The 21622-nt window shown below is 46.1% G+C and overlaps 1 protein-coding gene across 5 annotated transcripts in view; it reads left to right on the top strand.

Moving 5' to 3' along the window:
* FBXL14 (F-box and leucine rich repeat protein 14) overlaps positions 1-10467 on the top strand; it is a 28850-nt gene extending 18383 nt beyond the window's left edge. For 3 of the 5 annotated variants that reach the window (NM_001405292.1, NM_001405291.1, NM_152441.3), the window contains exon 2: positions 9650-10467. In NM_001405292.1, coding sequence (NP_001392221.1) covers positions 9650-9712 — 63 coding nt within the window. In that variant the 3' untranslated portion in view covers positions 9713-10467. Of the gene's footprint in view, positions 1-9320; positions 9417-9649 lie in introns of those variants that run through there. The other 2 variants (NR_175934.1, XM_047428391.1) reach the window with 2 other exon arrangements.

The raw sequence follows: 21622 nt of genomic DNA, 5'->3' as shown, positions 1-21622 counted from the left end.
AGCTCCAGAGGGTGACAGCCTCTGCATTACTGCCCTCGTGGTCTCTCCCCACCTTCTTGAAGCTGCCCTCGATGTCAGTTTCAACCTATTTTACTGGTACAGAAATATGGAGGAGTGAGGGGCCAACCCAGCACTCAGTGACTGACACTGCCGGCCCCCACGCTGTCCACCCCACCACGGGCACTGCCACCCTGCCTTCTGCTCTGGTCGGTTTAGTCTGTAGAGACGTTATCAGCATAGCACAAGCTAAAAGGTCCCCCAGGGAGGCCAAACCAAATCAGGTCCTTGATTTAAATGACGATTTAAATCACTCCCTGCTTCATCTGCAGTAATTTTGTTTTATTAGATAAAGCGTTTGTGGGAAGAAAAGGAAATATTTAAGGTTTCCTCCCGCTGTCGTAGGCTAGTTAAGTGTAAACAGAAAAAACCTGTTGGGCTGTGCTGAGGCATTGCACACAATTTGTCATGTGCATCTCCATGAGGACAAAAACACACATCCAGGCAGGCTTCCTCAGCAAGAGAAGTGCCTCTGAGCATTTCCTCAGGACAGGACCTTTCTACTGAAGATCCTGCGGAGGGAGGAAGTTCAGAGTTCATGCCAAACCTGACCCCAGGATCCAGGCAAAGACGGTTCCCTAAGGACACTACCACAGAGACAGTGACCCTCTCATGACGCTTCCTCAAACATGATTGCACACACTCCACACTATTTTCCTACCGAGAAACCACCAGGTGCCTTCCTAAGCTCCCACGCCTGTTGGCTGCAGATCCTGACCCACAGCATGGGCAGAAGCCAACAGCAACCTCCTGCGGCAAGGATCCCAGTGTGCTTGGAGCTGGAGAGGGCCGATTCGGAGGATCCCAGAGTCCTACAGGGGCTTCAGACAGGAGATTCCGAGGGGGAGTAGAGCTGTGAGCACAGGGTATCACTGACCAGTGAGGAAGAGGGTGTTTTCCCCACGGGATCCCGAACGGCACAGTGTCAGTGTCTGCTCAAGGAACCATTAACCCCAGGGATGCAAAAGATCTACTACTTATGGCTGGAATACGGAATATTCAAAACCAGATGGACAGTTAGGTCGATAGATAAGACAGATAGATAAGATTAGAGAAATAAGATAGATTACATTGATAGAGATAGATTTAGACAGACACAAATACTTTCTTTTTGTTCAACTGTTAATCATCCAAACTACTTTTATCTCAAAATGAAATACAGCAAACCCAGTGAGCAAAGGAGGATGGAGCTGTAGGGGATCTTTATTTTTATTTAAATAGAAGTTTTTTCTCCCTTGGGGTTTTGTTTATCTGTCCATACACATCCATAGAAAAATATTATTCTTAGAGTCCTGAGGCTGTTCACATTTGTTTGCACAGACTTTAAAGGGCAAATAAAAGACAAGCAGAGATATTTTTCAGACATACTGTTGTACTTAGATGATGTGTTTAGATCCCTCCTTCTAGTTCAGGAGCAATTTGTTCATTCATTACTGTCCAAAAAGTACTTTCAAAATATTCTACTAAATTTATCAAAGATAATTTTTTTTTTTAAAAAAAGCTCCTAACTTCTCAAATAAACTCGTACCAAATCCTTTCCAATAGCCACAGTAATACTCACATGACACTGAAATGACCCTCAGGACACCAGGGGCTGTGACAAGAGTAAGTCCCCAGAGTAAGGCGGGATTCTGCTGGCATGGCCCGCTCCCACAGCCTCCTGCCCACATCCAGCTGTTCAAGCAGGCACGAGGCAGGACTGCGAAGCTTCCTGAGGTTCTTGAACACTGAGGATCTGGAGCATTTGAGAACTTGAACTTCAGATCCCTCAAAAGAAGGTTCTGCAAACTTTCTGGCTACTTAGCAGGGTGGCCTTTACCAGCACTCAGTTGCTATCCTTGTCCCTGCCTCCCGAGGTGCCTCCACTGCTGCCAGCCTCCCCCACCCCAGCCTCCATCCACACCGCTGCTGCCAGCCTCCCCTCACCCCAGCCTCCACCCACACGGCTGCCACCAGCCTCCCCTCACCCCAGGCTCCACCCACACCACTGCCGCCAGCCTCCCCCACCCCAGCCTCCATCCACACCGCTGCCACCAGCCTCCTCTCACCCCAGCCTCCACCCACATGGCTGTTCCTCCAGGTAAGCTCTCTGGATGACCCACAGGAGAATCACTGGGGCGCTGGCGAAAACTGCATTTTTCAGGGGGCAGGTTTCATCATCTCTGTATTCTATCCCCAGAGATTTCATCCTAAAAATGTCATAGGATCGTATGACTATCTTGTTTCAAAGTCTCCACTCACTTCCTGTTTCATAAAGAACAAAGTCCTAACCCCATTACAGTGGTCCCAATTACACCCCAAGCTACATCTCCTGCCAGTTCTCATCCTCCTGAATCGCAGCCTCTTATTCTGGTCACACACAACCATTTCACTCTTTTTTTTTTTTTTCTTTTTTTTGAGACGGAGTTTCGCTCTTGTTGCCCAGGCTGGAGTGCAATGGTGCGATCTCAGCTCACCAAAACCTCCACCTCCCAGGTTCAAGCGATTCTCCTGCCTCAGCTTCCTGAGTAGCTGGGATTACAGGCATGCGCCACCACGCCCAGCTAATTGTGTTATTTGTAGTAGAGACAAGGTTTCTCCATGTTGGTCAGGCTGGTCTCAAACTCTTGACCTCAGGTGATCCGCCCGCCTTGGCCTCCCAAAGTGTTGGGATTACAGGTGTGAGCCACCAGGCCCGGCCTCATTTCACTCTTCTGTGCACTTATGTATGTTGTACCCATGGACATAGAATGTTCTTCCCTCTCTGTTTGACTGGAGAACTCTTCCTCACCCTTTAAGTCCTGGCTTGAATGAACACTGTGCAGCCTCCCATTGCTATCTCTGTGCCCCTCAGCTGCCTGAGCCTCCGGTATCGGCACTTCTGGCCCCGCAATGTTACATCCTCTTTACATCACTGCTGTCCCTAGAAGGACCCCCTAGTCGTGCGTGGCTGGGGTGGCATTCAGCTGACAAGGTTGAACGTATGTGCTGAGCTTCTACGAGGCACCCTGTCCTGTGATAGGGGCTGAGGATACAGCAAAGAACAGACCTTAGTTCCAGCCTAACAAAGCTTACAGTATTGTGGAGAAGACAGACAAAAAATGTAACACCAGATACTAACGTAACCCAAATCAGGAGGCCCTGACCTGGTCTAGGGGTCAGAGAATGCCTCCCAGACAGTACTGGCATTTACCTTTGCATTTCTAGCACAGCGCCTTGCACTCTGGAAGGCTCTGAGTCAGTTTTCTTAGGTGAAGTGTCACTCAAATGCTAAAGACCCTCAAATATTCAGCCCAGACCCCTGGACCCACAGACCCAACTATTAGACATCTCTTACTAGTGTATCCCACAGACATAGGAGCCCAAAATTAAACATATTTCCTCCTAAATCACTCTACCTACCCAGATTTACGGCCTCCATAAAAGGCACTGCCTGGCTGACCACACAATCAGCCTGGAAGTTATGAATAACTCTTCTCTCTCTTATTACATCCTGTGCCCAAAGGATTGTCCCAGCTCTGTTGATTCCGCCTTCTGGATTCTGACCGCATTATTTCCTCTCCATCCCCCCTCCACCGCCACTGCCCTAAGTCAGTCCTCATCACTTCTCATTTTGACCATTTTGACCCAGGTCCCAGGAGTGATTTTTCTAATGTACAAATCTGATTCTATCACTTCCCGGTCACAATCTCCAGTGGGCTCCTTCTTGCCAATAGGTTAAAATCTAAATTCTGCTGCACGCTGTCCGGGATCCTCGATAACCTGGCCCTGCCTTCCTCTCCACTGCCCCCCCGCTTCCCCGACCTGTATGTGCGTCAGGACTGAACCTCTGCAGTCACGATTTCTCCAATGATAGACCACGGCCTCTCTGGGAATGGGGCGGGCCCCCTGGACCTGGGTCTACTAGCATATGGACTCAGACCTAAAGATCAGGGTGCCTGGTGCATCTTACTTGGTAACAAAAAAAGCCAAATCAAAATGTTCTTGTGTTGAAAGGGGCACATTATCTGCACTAAAACATACCCTGCATCCAGTTGCAAACGTACAGTAGGAAACTCTTGGGAGCCAAGAAGTGTCCTGTATTGTGACTGTGGTGCTGGTTTCATGGGGTTATGCATCTGTCAAAACACACCGTATCGTGCACTTTGAGTGCAGTTTGTTGTACATAAATTATACCTCATAAAGTTATTTAAAAAGTTCCCTCTGTCAACACTAGCTTGCATGGATTGTCATACTGTCACCTAAAATGCTCTATCCTTGCCTATCTGCATGTAAATCCTACTTTTTTTTTCACTGCCCCCAAAGCCTTTCCTGACTCCCCCACGTAAACGTGACTGCCACTTCTCTTGTTTCTCATAGTTTCAGTCATCCCTCCCCATCCTTGGTGGTGAAGCCTCCTAATTCCCTTGGTGGGAATTTGTAGTTAAGGAACTTAACACTTCATAGAAATAACAGGCTATGGGTGGTGAGGTCTCCAGGGACTAGAGCACAGAACTGTCTTCATTCTGGTACTCCCTGCACCCAGGAAAGTGCTGGGTATAGAGTAGGTGTTCAATCAATATTTGAGGAACAAGGAGATGGGAAGATCTGGAGTTGATACACTCAGTACATTAGGCTTAGCTGATTCTTACTTGAGGAAGACAGACTGAGCTATTAGTAGTGACTTCAAATGGGATAGGGACAATCTTGCAGTAACCTTGCTGGTGAGAAATCTAGGAAAACCCCAGCATCTGTTAAAAAGTCGCTCTTTGATAACTGCTGTGTCCCCGTCCCAAGGTAATCATTTTAAAGTCAAATAAAAAACATGTATGATTTGGATATTTCAAGTCTCTTTTTCAAAAGCACTATCTCTGTTTATGAAACTGATGAGCTGTGTTGCTTAAGCTCTGCTAACTAAGAAAGTAGTGTTTTACACTGGCTGGGCGCGGTGGCTCACTCCTGTAATCCCAGCACTTTGGGAGGCTGAGGCAGGCGGATCACCTGAGGTCAGGAGTTCGAGACCAGCCTGACCAACATGGAGAAACCCCGTCTCTACTAAAAATACAAAATTAGCCGGGTGTGGTGGCGCATGCCTGTAATCCCAGCCACTCGAGAGGCTGAGGCAGGAGAATCGCTTGAACCTGGGAGGCAGAGGTTGCAGTGAGCTGAGATCATGCCATTGCACTCCAGCCTGGCCAACAAGAGCAAAAACTCTGTCTCAAAAAAACAAAACAAACAAACAAAAAAAACCCCACCAGAAAAAAGAAACTGTTTTACACCTACTGCCATGCAATAGCATGCTTTTGATACATGAGTATATGTATAAAGTATAAGATATATACAAGATTCTAAAATAGTGGCTGAAGGACCATGCAATCAGGCAGTCATAGCAATGACCGATTATTAGTGATAAACACATGCCACACAGAGAAAGGACTATGGACAATAATGGCCTATTTAACCTACCACTGTCCTGCAGCAACCGCTCATCTGGAGGAGCAGCAGACAAGGGTAGATGGAGCTGCATTACATGGCGACACTAGGCAGCTTGGTCTACACCATCACTGCTCCTCCCATCATGACCACACCACCTGGGAGGACCACCAAAGGGAAAAAGATCAAGAGAGGCCGAGGAGAATTACTACCGCTTGGTCTCGATGGTCACGTCATCAAAGATTCATTCATTGACTATTCAGTGTATGTTCTGACTAAGATGGGCAAAAGTGATCGAGACACTTGGGTTCCGTTCTGCTTTGCTCACTTAGTCCTTAACTTGACTGCCCTTCCCCTGCCTCACTTTTTTCACTTGCAAAACCAGACAAAATGCTAGACATTCTACTCACCATCAGACCCAGGAGAGCCTACAGGGAACCCCACGGCGTGAAATCAGCGTCAGCTCAGCAGGCAGGTATTCCAGGCAGAGCACACAGCCATGCCCACCCACATTTCCCACCTTCACCCTTCAGGCACGAGACCCCACCTTCTGACCACCAGCTCCTGCACTTTTTTTGCGGAGCCCTCTTGCCCACCCCGGTAGGAAGGAGATGCCAGAGATGAGTGCTCCCTGTGACAGCCCTCAACCAGGGACAGGCAGGAGCCGTTGTATAAGGACACATGTTGTACCCCGGCTGACTTCCCCAGCAGGTTTGGCCCCAGTGGCCACGTCCATCACCGGTGTGATAACCCACTCTTGATTGGCTGTCTTCCCTTCCTTGTCTCACTTTCCCACTCTCTGATCAGTAGCTCCTCATGTCACAAGTAATCTACTGGCCTTTGAGTCACTGCTTCAGGGTGGGCTTCTGGAGGAACACAAACTAGGACAACAGGTCTAGTGTGGACAGGACACCGCACTAGACAAAGCTGGGCGGAGTTTCGACCAGAGGGGAAAAACCCCTCTTCCATGCAACAACAGCAAAACGTTCTCTTAGGAAGAATCTGAACCTCATAAAAGCCTCCTTCTTGTCTGAAAAGCTTCCTTGCAGAAGGAGCTCAGTGGGCCTGAGGGCAGAAGTGCAGCTCTCGAGGGGGATGCTGGCTCTGCAGTGGGCATGTGGTGCGCCCTGCCCTCCCTTGGCTCTGTGTGAGCCTCCCTTCCTTTGCACAGGGGACTCTGGGTGAGTGGCACAGCCTTCAACAAAAGTGGCTCTGCTCTTTGGCAATAGTCTTTTCTGTGGGACAGCATAAAATGAGCATTAAACAAACTTCGAGGATGAGCTATGCTCAACAGCCATAAAGAACCAAGTGGTGCCGGGAGCGGTGGCTCACGCCTGTAATCCCAGCACTCTGGGAGGCCGAGGCGGGCGGATCACAAGTTCAGGAGATCGAGACCATCCTGGCTAACACGGTGAAACCCCATCTCTACTAAAAACACAAAAAATTAGCCGGGCGTGGTGGCGGGCGCCTGTAATCCCAGCTACTCAGGAGGCTGAGGCAGGAGAATGGCGTGAACCCGGGAAGCGGAGCTTGCAGTGAGCCGAGATTGCGGCACTGCACTCTAGCCTGGGTGACAGAGCGAGACTCCGTCTCAGACAAAAAAAAAAAAAAAAAGAACGAAGTGGTTTCTTATTTAGCATATGAGAGCGTGGGGTTGAAGAGGGAAGAAGGAAGAGGAGAAGCCTGGTGAAAAGGAGAGGGAATGGGAAGGAGAGGGAGAGAGAGAGAGAGAATTAGAAAACATCAGAAATTAAGTGGATAAAATAAATGACCACTTCACAAACAACCACTACCTTTCCTCAACCTGGAAAGGAAAATGAAAAGGAGAAAAAAGAGAAGCAAAACAAGCATTGATTATATAAATTTGCATGTACAGAGATAAAGGTGCACCAGCTTTTCCTTTTTGTTCTGTAAAAGCTTCAATATATTCTTTATATCTCAATCCTATGAAAATACTTGTGAGATTATAATTATGCTTATATTATTAAAGATAATTATTCTGGGTTATTCTCCATGTCTCAGGACTGTGCCTTTTGCTGGTCAGCCTAAAGTGACCTGACAGAAGCACAATTTATATCTGAAGTGGGTTTTTTGTAGACAACACAGAGCTGGGTCTTATTTTTTGACCCACTATGACAATCTTTTTTTGTTTTTTGAGATGGAGTCTCTGTCACCCAGGCTGGAGGGCAATGGCGTGATCTCGGCTCACTGCAACCTCCACCTCCTGGGTTCAAGTGATTCTCTTGCCTCAGCCTCGCGAGTAGCTGGGATTACAGGCGCCCGCCACCACGCCAGGCTAATTTTTGTATTTTTAGTAGAGGGGGGTTTCACAGGTAGTATGAGTTTCTTATAACAACACCATAATCCTAATTCCTCCCCTCATCCCTTGTAATATTGTTGTCACTCATTTCCCTTACACATAAGTATATATCTAAGGGTACATAATTGAATACATTGTTGTTATTACTTTGAACAGTTATCTGTTAGATTAAGAATAAGAAAAATAAGTTATTATTTTGCTTTCACTTATTCCTTCTCTGCCCTCTTTATGTAGATCTAAGTTTCTGACCTATAGCATTTTCTTTCTCTCTAAAGAATTTCTTGTAACATTTCTTGCAAGGCAGATCTACTGGCAACAAATTCCCTGAAGTTTTGTTTGTCTGAAAAAGTCTTTATTCTCCTTTACTTTTAAAGGATAATTGTGCAGGGTTCAGAGTTCTAGGCTGGTGGGTTTTCTCTCTCCACCCTCACATCTCACTCCACTCTCTCCTTGCTCACCTGGTTTCTGAGGATAAGTCAGGTGCATTTCTTCCCTTTGCTCCTCTACAGGTAATGTGTTTTTTTCACTCTGGCCCCTTCCAGGACTTTTTCTTTATCTTTGATTTTCTGCAGTTTGAAAATGATATGCCCAGGTGTAGTTTTTCTGGCATTTGTCCTGATTCTCTGAGATTCCTGGATCTGTGGTTTAGTGTCTGACATTAATTTGGAGAAATCTGTCATTACCATTTCAAGTATTTCTTCTTTCTCCTCCTCCTGGTATTCCCATTACACATGCTACACCTTTTGTAGATGTCCCACAGTTCTTGGATATTCTGTTCTGTGTGTGTGCGCACGTGTGTGCGCGCGTGTGCGTGTGGGTGGGTTTTCTTTTCCCTTTTCACATGTGGAGGTTTCTATTGAGATAACCTTATGCTCAGAGATCCTCTCCTCAGCTGTGTCCAGTCCACAAATCCATCAAAGCCCATCAGCGGCATTCTTCATTTCCGTCACCGTGCTTTGCTCTCTGTCACTTCATTTGGTTTTTTCTTAGATTCCCATCTCCCTGCTTTCATTGCGCACCTGTTCCTGCATGCTGCCTACTTTATCCATTACAGCCCCTCACATTAATCAGAGCTGCTTTCAATTTCCCGCCTGGTAATTCCAGCATCCCTGCTGTCTCTGAGTCTGGTTGTGAAGCTTGCTCTGTCCCTTCAACATGTGTTATTTGATTCTTATTTCATTTTATTATTATTATTATTTTTGAGACAGAGTACCACTCTGTCGCCCAGGCTGCAGTACAGTGGCGCGATCTTGGCTCACTGCAACCTCTGCCTCCCGGTTCAAGCGGTTCTCTTGCCTCAGCCTCCTGAGCAGCTGGGATTACAGGTGCTTGCCACCACGCCCAGCTAATTTTTCTTTTCTTTCTTTTCCTTTTTTTTAATTTTTATTTTTAGTAGAGATGGGGTTTTGCCATATTGGCCAGGCTGGTCTCGAACTCCTGACCTCAGGTGATCCGCCCGCTTCGACCTCCCAAAGTGCTGGGATTACAGGCGTCAGCCACCGTGCCAGGCCCTATTTGCCCTTTAGTATGTCTTATATCTTTTTCTTGATAGTGGCTGTGACCGGGTAAAGGCAGCTGCTGTAAAGAGGCCGTGAGTGTGCGGTGGGAAGGTCTACTCTATAGTCTACAATCAGGCCTCAGAGTTTTGGTGAGCTTGCACCCCTCAGCTGAACATTCACAAATGAGTCTCCGTCCTCCCTCCCGCCCCCACCTTAAGTGAGCCGGGAGATGGCTAGAGTGGGCTGGCGTGGGAGTTTCCCTTCCCCCAGGTCAGTTAGGCGCTGATAAAGCCGCGGTGGGGTTAGGGGAGGCGACCTCGTTAGGAAGAGCAGAGTGCGGCAGTCTCTTTCAAAATGGTCCTTTTTCTTCTTCCCACTGCAGGAGGCACGAGGGGATTTTTCTCCATTATTCACTGTGAGAACTCGGGGAAGCTCCAGAAGGTGAGGGAGAGGGGACAACGACATGGTTCCCGTGGATCTTTAACTTCCAGACTTGCCCGCTCTGCGCCTCCGGCACTCTGGTGATGACAGCTCAGGTTTCCCTGCCTGTCACTGCTCGGGCAGAGGCTGCTGCCCAGGGCTTCTGCTCCGGTACCTTGTGAAGCTGCATTCTCCTGCCGGTTTCTCCAGTTCTGGGGACAGTGGTTTGCTCTGAGACCTCGCTTCCTTTATGGATCCAAGGAGACTTGCTTTTTCAGTCTGTTCAGCTTTTTACTTGCTAGGATGGAATTGCAATTTGCAAGCTTCTTCGACAGGAAACTACAAGTTCCACACTTTAATTTTATACATATAAATATATACATGTGTACATATATCTATGTACAGGGGTATTATATATATACATATAAGATGATGATATATATAATGATGATATGTATTACTGAGAACGTAAAATATCATTACATAGTGATAGCTGGACACACAAGGAATTCACAACTCCCCAAAGAAAATACATCTGGATGACCTGCCTAGCAGTTTCCCCATGAGATAGAGGAATGTCTACGTATTTCATTCCCTGTTCCTGCCCTGAAACAATTTCAATCACTGACAAATCATTATCATTCATTAATAATGTTTACTGAGTGCCCATATGTGAAAGAAATCCACTCTACATTCCACAGATGCATTTCCTCTCCCCACGGGGTTTCCATTTTAATGGGAACAATGTAGAATATATCTGTCTTCCCTTTATAGATTCCATTTGGGTTTTTTGTTGTTGTTTCTTGTTCTCTCTCTCTCTCTCTGGTCCAGAGGAATAATTTCCTGGTTTTGTAAACTAAACCGGATCATGTCACTTCCATGAATCAGGGAATACTTAATGAAGGAGTAAGGATTTACAGAGGACTGGGGATAAGAGATGGAGGGAAGCTGAACAGAAGGCAAATGAAACTGGTTGAGCCTCTTCAGAACACACAACAATTCCTGGTGGTGAGTCAGTGTGGATGGGGGAATGGGACACCTTACATGGGGATCAATGAAGAATCACTGGGGTCAAAAAGAGCACATGTCAAGAAGATGTCAAACTGATGACAAGCAAATATTGCCCCAGTATTACAATTCCTGTTGCCCCATCTCAAAATTACCCTGTCAGTTTGATGGGATGAAACTCTCAGACCCCGTTTCATACCACAGACACTGAATCCCTATTCCACAGCTTAGGAAGTCCGAAGAAGTAGACGGTATGTGTGTCTTCCAAAGCTGTCTACCAGAGATGATCAAGGTGTTGGAGAACTTTTGTCTCTCTTAATTGTTCTGGTAACTGCTGTGTACAACGAGGCTAAACACTCACTGATAAGAATTCTCTCCCTGCTGCCCCAATGCAACTTCTAGATTGTACACTAGTACAAGAGTCCTAACGCAGTAACTTGCCTACACGCAGAAACTGGCTGACCTGGGCTTTGGGTGTAGGAACCCTTCCTAAAAACATGAGTATCATCCAGGAGTCTAAACAATTTGATGGGTAGACCTTATATTGAATTACAAAGGTTTAGGAGTAGGAATTAGCTAGTCCAGTGGTTTTTTAAAAAAAATGTTTTTAAAGAAGGAGAACTCTATTTTTCCACTAAAATCATATGTTGAAGCAAAACAAATAACATTTATGTAGTTGAAAATTGGGTAGGAGAGGAGATCTCCACTGGCCCCTAAGTAAGAACTGTCTCAAAGTTCTGTCTCGAAAACCACTTATCTAGCCCAATTCCTCAATTTTTATTGTTTTTTGTTTGTTTTTATTTGTATTATTTATTTATTTATTTTTGAGACGGAATTTGACTCTTGTCACCCAGCCTGGAGTGCAGTGGCACAATCCCCGCTCACTGCAACCTCCACCTTCTGGGTTCAAGTGATTCTCGTGCCTCAGCATCCTGTGTAGCTGGGATTATAGGCACACGCCACCCCATCCGGCTAATTTTTGTATTTTTAGTAGAGACAGGGTTTCGCCCTGTTGGCCAAGCTGGTCTCCAACTCCTGACCTCAGGTGATCCACCCACCTTGGCCTCCCAAAGTGCTGGGATTACAGGCATGAGCCACCGTGCCTGGCCTATTTTTATGTTTTTAAACAAGGTGTTGCCCTGTCACCCAGGCTGGAGTGCAGGGGCACTATCATAACTCACTGCAGCCTTGAACTTCTGGCCTCAAGCAATCTTCCCACCTTGGTCCCCCAGCAGTGCTGGGGTTACAGGCACGAGCCACTGCACCCTGCGCAATCCCTCCATTCCTATAGGTGAGGAAATGGGAACACAAAGAAGGCAGGTAAATTACCCAGGGTTACGGGACTAGGGGTAAATCTGGTTCCTGATGCTTAATCCTTTGCTCTTTCTACTATAACCCCCATCTCTGAGAATCTATTCTGAACCCATGGAACTACACGTGGTGATCTTAAGCCACAAAAATTACTGACACAGTGTTTTCATTAAGGACTCCCCCTGCCCTGTCCATTTCCTGAGAATGAGAGGTTTCTAGTTCTTTGTACCACATTAACTCCAATTGGTAATTCTGAATTCCTTCTTGGCAGAAGTAATATAGATCAGATTCCATTAAATGTATTGCTACAGAGAAAATTTACTTTTTAAAAAAATTCAAACCCAGCTTATGGTCTACAGACTTCAGTAAGATTTAATCAGCAACAGTTTAGTATTATACTGCAAAAGAATTTGGATGGTGTTTGGGACATTACTATAAATAGGTTTTGCCTATATTGCGTATATTGGCCTCATGTTGGCACCTTCAGTAATTCCGACAGCAGTTGGCTTCCAAATCCCTCACCATAAAAGTGGTTGCATATTATGAAATCCAACACTGATATCCCAGCATCCCAAGGAGTTCATCCCTATATCTCATTTAGTTATCTTCCAAGTAATCTGCTGTGATATGCAGTTTGCTACCCTGGCACAGACAGGAGGAAAAGAACCATCAGCCGCCCTAAGCCTGCAGTTCTGAGGCTCCCCCAAGGCTTCGATGGGCCTTTCTAGGAGGTGGCTCTGTGATTCCAGCCTCAACACCAAGGAATCTTGGGTTATTTATGAGATCAGAGCCCTTATTAATGTAATTCTGTTCAAGGCAATTTAAACGAATGAAATAGGCATGATGGTGCACGCCTGTGGTCCCAGCTACTTGTGATGCTGAGGAGGGGGATCACTTGAGCCCCAGAGTTTAAGGCTGCAGTGAGCCACGATGGTCCCACTGCACTCCAGCCTGGCAACACAGCAAGACCCTGCCTCTGAAACATTTTTTTTTAATTTAAAAAAAGAAGGGAAGATAAGTGAGAATTTGAAAGCAATGACAGACATATTTGAAAGCTGCAGGGGCAGGTGGAGGCAGCCACGGAGGACACGGTGGGGCGTCAGCTTGTGGGGCCGGAAGTTCCGTGCGAGCACCTAGAGCGAGGTCTCTCATACTCGTTCCCACACCACTGAGATTGGCGTTTCACTAAGGACCGATTGAGGAAGCAACAGCAATGAAAAGGAGGCCACGAGGAATGAGGAAACTGTCTACATGGAGTATAAACTCAAGGCCAGCATCCAAGGAAAACATCAAATTGGAAAGAAAAAAACAGAAACATTTCAGATGGCGGAGCTGAAACTCAGTCTCTGGGATGTGGCGACTTCGGTCTCCCTCTCATGCCTGACAGTGGAGTCAGAACCCTGTCATTTTTAGAGGCTGGGTCCCTGGCACGCGATTCCTCTGGTACAAAAGAACCCACTCACTGCGCAAGTGGTCTGGGCAGGGGACTAGGTGTGTGGGGCCAACTCACATCCCTGACTCCTGTTTCTCAGCCATTAGCTCATATCTGAAACCTGGTATTAGAATAGTTCATGCCGGGACACTCTTTGAACTCTGTTTGCCCTAGTCCTGGCACTGCTGCCCTACAAAGGGAGGAGAATTTTAATAGCATTAAACACACACACACACACACACACACACACACACACACACACACACACACACACAAGGGAAAGAGGATGAAATACTTGTAAAGCTTTTGATAGTATCGAGTCATACACATATAAGCATGCAAGTGGTAGGAGTACTGAATGTTCTAGAACATACACAATACAAGTTGCAGTAGAACTACCTTTTACATTACCTCATGGAGCAGCAAGGCTATGTTAGAGCTGAGAACAAAACTGAGGCTTCTAAACATTTGGGGCTTTTGAATACCTCTCCCCATATATTGTTTTGGAATGACCCCCAGCTTTCTGAAGAGCACGGAGGGTGGAGCATGGCCATCCTGCAGCACTGTAGAAAGAGCAATGGGCTTTAGAGCTCAGTTATGCTGATTGTTTCCTGCGTGACATAGAGCAGACGACCTAGCCTCTGGTCCTGTTTCCTCATCTTTATTTATTTATTTATTTATTTATTTATTTATATTTTTTTGAGACAGAGTCTCACTCTGTCGCCTAGGCTGGAGTGCAGTGGCGTAATCTCGGCTCACTGCAACCTGCACCTACCAGGTTCAAGCAATTCTCCTGCCTCAGCCTCCTGAGTAGCTGGAATTACAGGTGCATGCTACCGCGCCTGGCTAATTTTTCTATTTTTAGGAGAGATGGGGTTTCACCACGTTGGCCAGGCTGGTCTCGAACTCCTGACCTCAGGTGATCCACCCACCTTGGCCTGCCAAAGTGCTGGGATTACAGGTGTGACCGTGCCCGGCCCTGTTTCTTCGTCTTTAAAATGAGAATATGAAAGCCTTCTTCACAGGGTTGTAGTTGGAATACACGAAATGAGATGATGTATGTAAAGCTTCTACTATAGTGCCTGGCGTATAGCAGATGCTTTGTTCATTTGATCAATATTAATTAAGCACCTTACTACATGTCAGGCACTGTGTGAGGTGCTGGAAATAAACGTTAGTAGGAACAGACCTGGCATCTGTCTCCTTGGAGCGTGCAGTGTAGCCACCTATTGTGTCACTAATAGTGGCACTTACTGTGAATGGCCTGTCTTGACTGAGGTGCACAGGTGGTACTTACACAGGTCACAAAGATGAGCAAAGTACAGGCACTGCTTCTGAACTGCTTAAATCTGATTAAAAAGCTAGGACAACCATAACCACATAATTGGATGCCTCTGCCACTAATTAAGTGATCTTGGGGAAATAATTTAACAATTTTGGACCTCAGTTTCCCCATAAATAAAATGAGGAGGTTGGACTGGATTAATGGTTCCCAAACGTGGCTGAGTATCACAATTGCCTGGGGAAGCTTTTAGAAGTACATATTCCAGGGACCCACCCCAGACTTGCTCATCGGAATCTTAAGTGTGGGGTTCAGGGATCTGTAGTAATTTTAAAAATGTCCCCAAGTGATCCAACACAGATATTTTGGTCTTAGTCCATATGTCAGATCCCTTTTAACGAAAGAGTTCTGGGATAAATTACTATAATCCAAAGCCGAAGCAAAGAGTGCCACAGAAAAGGCACCAATACAATATTGTGAGAGTTAGGAAAAGGCAAACATCTCAGGGGAGGCAGCAGCACTGAAGCGGAACTTGAGCTGGGCCTTGGATGAGGGCTGGAACCTGAACTTGAGGGGAGAAAGAAAGGGAAGAGTATGGAGAACTGAACCCAAACATTTGGTGAAGGACAGACTGCTTGAATGGGAATGATGGGATCTAAGGTTGGCAAGGTAAATCAAGACAAACTCCCTTAGTTATTCCATCCATCCATCCATCTGTCCATCCATCCGCCCATCCATTCATTCATTTCAATGACCGTCCATCCAGGCATTCAGGAATGCCTGGCAGTGTGAAATATGTACTATTCTAGGCCCTGAGGGTGGAAAGATAAAGACATAGTTCTGGCTGACCTAGCACGGCTACAGACACCCAGTGACAGAAGCTAATGGTGCTAAAAGAAGTGCAGGGCAGGCTGGGCACGGTGGCTCACGCCTTTAATCCCAGCACTTTGGGAGGCTGAGGCAGGCAGATCATGAGGTCAGGAGTTCAAGCCCAGCCTGGCCAACATGGTGAAACGCTGTCTCTACTAAAAATACAAAAACCCGCTGTGTGTGGTGGTGCCCGCCTGTAATCCTAGCTACTCTGGAGGCTGAGGCAGGAGCATTACTTAAATGCAGGAGGCGGAGGTTGCAGTGAGCCAAGATCACCCCACTGTACTCCAGCCTGGGTGATAAGAGTGAAACTCCGTCTTGGGGGAAAAAAAAAAGTGCAGGGCAAAGGCAGCCCAGAGGACTAACTGTGCCCAGAAAAGACAGACATCTGAAAGTAAAGGAGAGATAACTGGGTGTTACAGGTTCAACTGTGTCTCCCCAAAATGATATGTTGATGTCCTAACTTCCGGTTCCTCTGAAAATGACCTTAGGGGATATCTGAACACAGAGACAGACATGCACTGTCTTTCTGAAGACAGTGCGAAAACAGAGAGAGAAGGCCCCAGGAAGGTTGGGGACTGAGTGATGTTCTGCAGTCTAGGAATGCCAAAGACGGTCAGCAAATCACCACATGTGGGGAGAGAGGCCTGGAGCAGCTTCTCTTCACAGCCTCAGAAGGAACCAATCCTGCCAACACCTTGATCTTGGACTTTGGGCCCCCAGAACTGTGAGAAAGTAAATTTCTGTTGTTTGAAGCTCCCCAGCTTGGTGGTACTTTGTTCCCGCAGCTCTGGGAAACCATACATAAAGTAGACGCAAAAGGAGAGCCGTTAAAGACTGCATATTGTAGGCTTGGCAGCTGATTTTTGAATTGTTGGGTTAGCCAGCTAATTAAGCAGCTAGAGTGGTGCCTAGCACACAGCGAGAGCTCAGTAAACACTTGTGAGTAACCAATGGGAGGCTGGGGAGAAGGAGTAAAAATGGGTTCCCAGGGAGAATGCTGAGATGTGGAGGAAATGCAGTCCCAGTCTCAGGCACGTTGAACCTCTCCAGAGAGAGAGATCCAGAGGCAGCTGGAGCACAGCCGTGAAGCTTGGGAGCCAGAGATTAAGTTTTGGAAATCATCCATATAGAGACAATAGCTTAGATGCAGTTAAACATTATATAGAAAAAAGAAAAGAACACTACAGGCAGACATACTGTAATTTAGGGTCTCAGAAAAGGACGGAGAAAAAGTAGAGGAAAGACACAAGTCCGGCATCAGAGAAGACAGGAGTGGAGGCTTCAGGGAGGAGGACCCGGCTACAAGAAAACAGAAAAGGAAGACCTGTTTCAAGTGATCTGCTTTCCATGGCACAACTGCTGTGTTGTTTTGTTTTGTTTTGTTTTGTTTTTAACCTAAACCCATGACAATTCCTGAATGGTTTCCAATGGAGCAGCTTTCGAATTTCGTAAATTCAAGAAAGATTCTGGAGGAAAACATGAAGATGTTAGTATTTTAATCCTGAGTGTTTCAATAGCAGTCTCAGCCTGAGGAGCTCAAAGACTGTGGGATCAGGCAAAAAATCTAGGAGTGAATATTATGTCCCTAATAAAAAGGCTCGGCCGGACGCGGTGGCTCACGCCTGTAATCCCAGCACTTTGGGAGGCCGAGGCAGGTGGATCGCAAGGTCAGGAGATCGAGACCATCCTGGCTAACACGGTGAAACCCTGTCTCTACTAAAAATACAAAAAATTAGCCAGGCGTGGTGGCGGGCGCCTGTAGTCCCAGCTACTTGGGAGGCTGAGGCAGGAGAATGGCATGAACCCGGGAGGCGGAGCTTGCAGTGAGCCAAGAACGTGCCACTGCACTCCAGCCTGGGTGACAGAGCAAGACTCCATCTCAAAAAAAAAAGTGGGGGTGGGGCCAGAGAAGTAAAAATTCGTGACTTGGTTTTAGGTAGAAGATCAGGTTCCAGTGAAGAGCTCGGTTCTGATTCTTGGGCAAATATTCAAATCAGAGCACCAGCCATTTATTCATTTAACACACATTATTGACCACCTGGCACTGAGCTAGAGGCACAAAGGTGAATAAACTCATCAAGGAGCTTACAGTTTAATGGGGAAGACAGAGACATTATCAGGTACTTAAAAAATATGCTGAAGACCTTAGCTAAAGAAACTTTAGAAATCAATAATATGGAGTTTTCCCCAAAACTAAAAATACTCTGCCCCCACTGTGTTCACAAGATCAGCATCAAGCAAAGATTAATCTCAAGACTTGTTGTTTTTCTTGTTGGGTTTTGGACTTACTTGCAACCCCTTTCTTCTTATTTCTCCCTTTTGGAATGGGAACATCTATCCTATACATGTCCCACCATTGTATTTTGGAAGCACATTAACTTGTTTGATTTCATGGGTTCACAGCTGGAGAGCAGTTTGCCTCAGGATGAAACAAACCTTTGAGTCTCATCTGTGTCTGGTTTAGATGAGATTCTGGTTTTTGGACTTTTGAGTTGGTGCTGGAAGAAGTTAAGACTCTTGGAGGGGCGCGGTGGCTCAGGCCGGGCGTAGTGGCTCACGCCTGTAATCCCGGCACTTTGGGAGGCTGAGGCGGGCGGATCACCTGAGGTCGGGAGTTCGAAACCAGCCTGACCAACCTGGAGAAACCCCGTCTCTACTAAATATACAAAATTAGCCGGGCGTGGTGGCACATGCATGTAATCCCCGCTTGGGAGGCTGAGCCAGGAGAATTGCTTGAACCCAGGAGGCGGAGTTTGCAGTGAGCTGAGATCACACCATCGCACTCCAGCCTAGGCAACAAGAGCAAAACTCTGTCTCAAAAAAAAAAAAAAAAAAAAAAAAAGGCCAGGCGTGGTGGCTCATGACTGTAATCCCAGCACTTTGGGAGGCCGAGGTGGGCAGATCACCTGAGGTCGGGAGTTTGAGACCAGTCTGACCAACATGGAGAAACCCCATCTCTACTAAAAATACAAAATTAGCCAGGCATGGTGGCACATGCCTGTAATCCCAGCTACTCGGGAGGCTGAGGAGGGAGAATCGGTTGAACCTGGGAGGTGGAGGTTGAGGTGAGCTCAGATTGCACCATTGCACTCCAGCCTGCGCAACAAGAGCGAAACTTCGTCAAAAAAAAAAAAAAAAAAAAAAAACTCTTAAGGCTACTGAGATAGAACGAAGAACGAATGTATTTTTTGTGTAAGAAGGACATGAGTTTAAGGGGGCCACAGCTGGAATGCTATGGTCTGAATGTATGTCTATACCCCCCAAATTAATATGTTGGAGCTTAACCCCCAAGGTGATAGTACTAAGAGGTAGGGCCTTTTGGGAAGTGATTCAGCCCCTTATAAGAATGGCTGAGAGGAGTGCTCTTGCTCCTTCCCTCTTCCACCCCTTCTGCCATGTGAGGACACAGCAAGAAGGCACCATCTTGGAAGTGGAGAACAAGCCGTCACCAGAGGCCAAACCTGCTGGTGCCTGTCTTTTGAACTTCCCAGCCTCCAGAACTGAGAAATGAATTTCTGTTGTTCATAAATTTTTTAAAGCCTAAAAATGGAATTACCATATGATCTAGTGATCCCACTTATGGATATAGATCCAAAATCATTGGAATCAGTATGTTGACTAGGTATCTGCACTCCCATGTTCATTTCAGCATTATTCATAATAACCAAGATATGGAATCAACCTAAGTGTCCATCAATGGATGAATGGATAAAGAAAATGTGGCATATATACAATGGATTACTAACAGCCTTTAAAAAGGAGGAAATCCTGTCATTTCTGACAACATGAATGAACCTGGAGGATACTATGCTGAGTGAAATAAGCCAGGCAAGAGAGATAAATACCATATAATATCACTTATGTGTGGTATCTTAAAAAGTCAAACTTATAGAATTACAGTGTAGAATGGTGGTTACCAGATACTGGGGGTGAGGGGTGGGGAATGCACAGATGTTGACCAAAGGGTAGAAAGTTCCAGTTAGACAGGAGGAATAATTCTTCAAGATCTATTACCCAGCATGGCAACCACAGTTAATAATAATGTATTATATATCTCAAAATTGCTAAAACAATAGATTTTAAATGCACTCACTACAAAAAAGGATAAGTATGTGAGGTGATAGATGTGTCAGCTTGATATAATCATTCCACAAGGTATACATATATCGAAACATCACATTGTACCCTGTAAATTTACAATTGTTATTTGTCAACTACAAATAAAAATTGAAGTTAAAAAATAAAAAAGTAATATTCTATTGGGGGATAAACAAAATGTTGTATACACATGCAATGGAATATTATTCAGCCTTAAAAAAGGAAGGAAATTCTGATGCATGCTACGACATGGATGAAATATTGCTAAGTTTCATCCATGGGCCAGGCGAGGTGGCTCACGCCTGTAATCCCAGCACTTTGGGAGGCTGAGGCGGGTGGATCACAAGGTCAGGAGATCGAGACCATCCTGACTAACACGGTGAAACCCCGTCTCTACTAAAAATACAAAAAATTAGCCAGGCGTGGGGGCAGGCACCTGTAGTCCCAGCTACTTGGGAGGCTGAGGCAGGAGAATGACGTGAACCCGGGAAGCAGAGCTTGCAGTGAGCCGAGATTGCGCCACTGGACTCCAGCCTGGGCGACAGAGCAAGATTCCGTCTCAAAAAAAAAAAAGTTTCATCCATGGATGAAACATAGATGCTAAGCAAAATAAGCCAGACACAAAAGGACATATTTTATAATTCCACTTCTAAGAGGTATTTATAATAGATAAACTCATAGATAGAAAGTAGGTCCCGATGTGGTGGCTCGCGCCTGTAATCCAGCACTTCGGGAGGCTGAGGTGGGAGGATCACTTGAGCCCAGGAGTTTGAGACCAGCCTGGTCAACATGGTGAGACCCTGTCTATACAAAAAATAAAAACTAAAAAATTAGCAGAGTGTGGTGGCACACACCTGTAGTCCCAGCTACTTAGGAGGCTGAGGTGGGAGGACTGCTTAAGCCCAGAAGTTTGAGCCTGCAGTGAGCTGTGGTTGCACCACTGCACTCCAACTTGGGTAACAGAGCAAGACCCTGTCTCAAAAATAAATACATACATACATACGCAGGAAAGTAGAAGCAGACAGAAAGAAGTGGTTGTCAGGGGCTGGAAGGCAGGAAGGATGGGAAGTTATTGTTTTATGTTAATTAAACAATAGTGTTAATTCTGAACAGAATTTCAGTTGGGGAAGATGGAAAAGTTTTGGAGATGGACGTGGTGATGATTACACAGCAGTGTGAATGTGCCCAATGCCACAGAACTGTACACTTAAAAATGGTTGAAATGGAAAATTTTGTTAAGTACATTTTACCATAAATTTTTAAAAAACAATAATGTTTGTGAACCTATCTGATAATTGAAAAAACTGGTCTTTGTCCGTGAGTCCCTGTTGGAGCATAAAGCTTCTTCTGCTCAGTGAATGAGCAGATACGAGGCAGCATTGAAAGGAATGCATCCCACATTTGACTGCCCAGTTTGATAGCTAGCAGCACCCCAGGGGTCAAAAGACATATGAGGCCGGGTGTGGTGGCTCATGCCTGTAATCCCAGCACTTTGGGAGGCCAAGGCAGGTGGATCACCTGAGGTCAGAAGTTCAAGACCAGCCTGGCCAGCATGGTGAAACCCCATATCTAGTAAAAATACAAAACTTAGCCAGGCGTGATGGTAGGTGCCTGTAATCCCAGCTACTCAGGAGTCTGAAGCAGGAGAATCGCTTGAACCAGAGAGGCGGAGGTTGCAGTGAGCTGAGATCGCACCACTGCATTCCAGCCTGGGTGACAAGAGAGAGACTCCGTCTCAAAAAAAAAAAAAAAAAAAGACATGGGTCCTTTTTGGACTGTGACCTTGTGTAGCAGGTTTTACCCTGAACCATTAGGGATCAATGAAGCTGATAAATTGTTCCCGTGGGTTAAGAACCAATGCCCATCATCAAGGAGAAATAAGGATTCTCCCAACCGGCCCCTTCCCTCCCATTGCCACATAAGGGAAACTT

This window comes from Homo sapiens, chromosome 12 (genome assembly GCF_000001405.40).
Source record: "Homo sapiens chromosome 12, GRCh38.p14 Primary Assembly".
Lineage (NCBI taxonomy): Eukaryota > Metazoa > Chordata > Mammalia > Primates > Hominidae > Homo > Homo sapiens.
The sequence above is the reverse complement of the archived record's forward strand: the minus strand, read 5'-3'. Positions and strand labels throughout refer to the sequence as shown.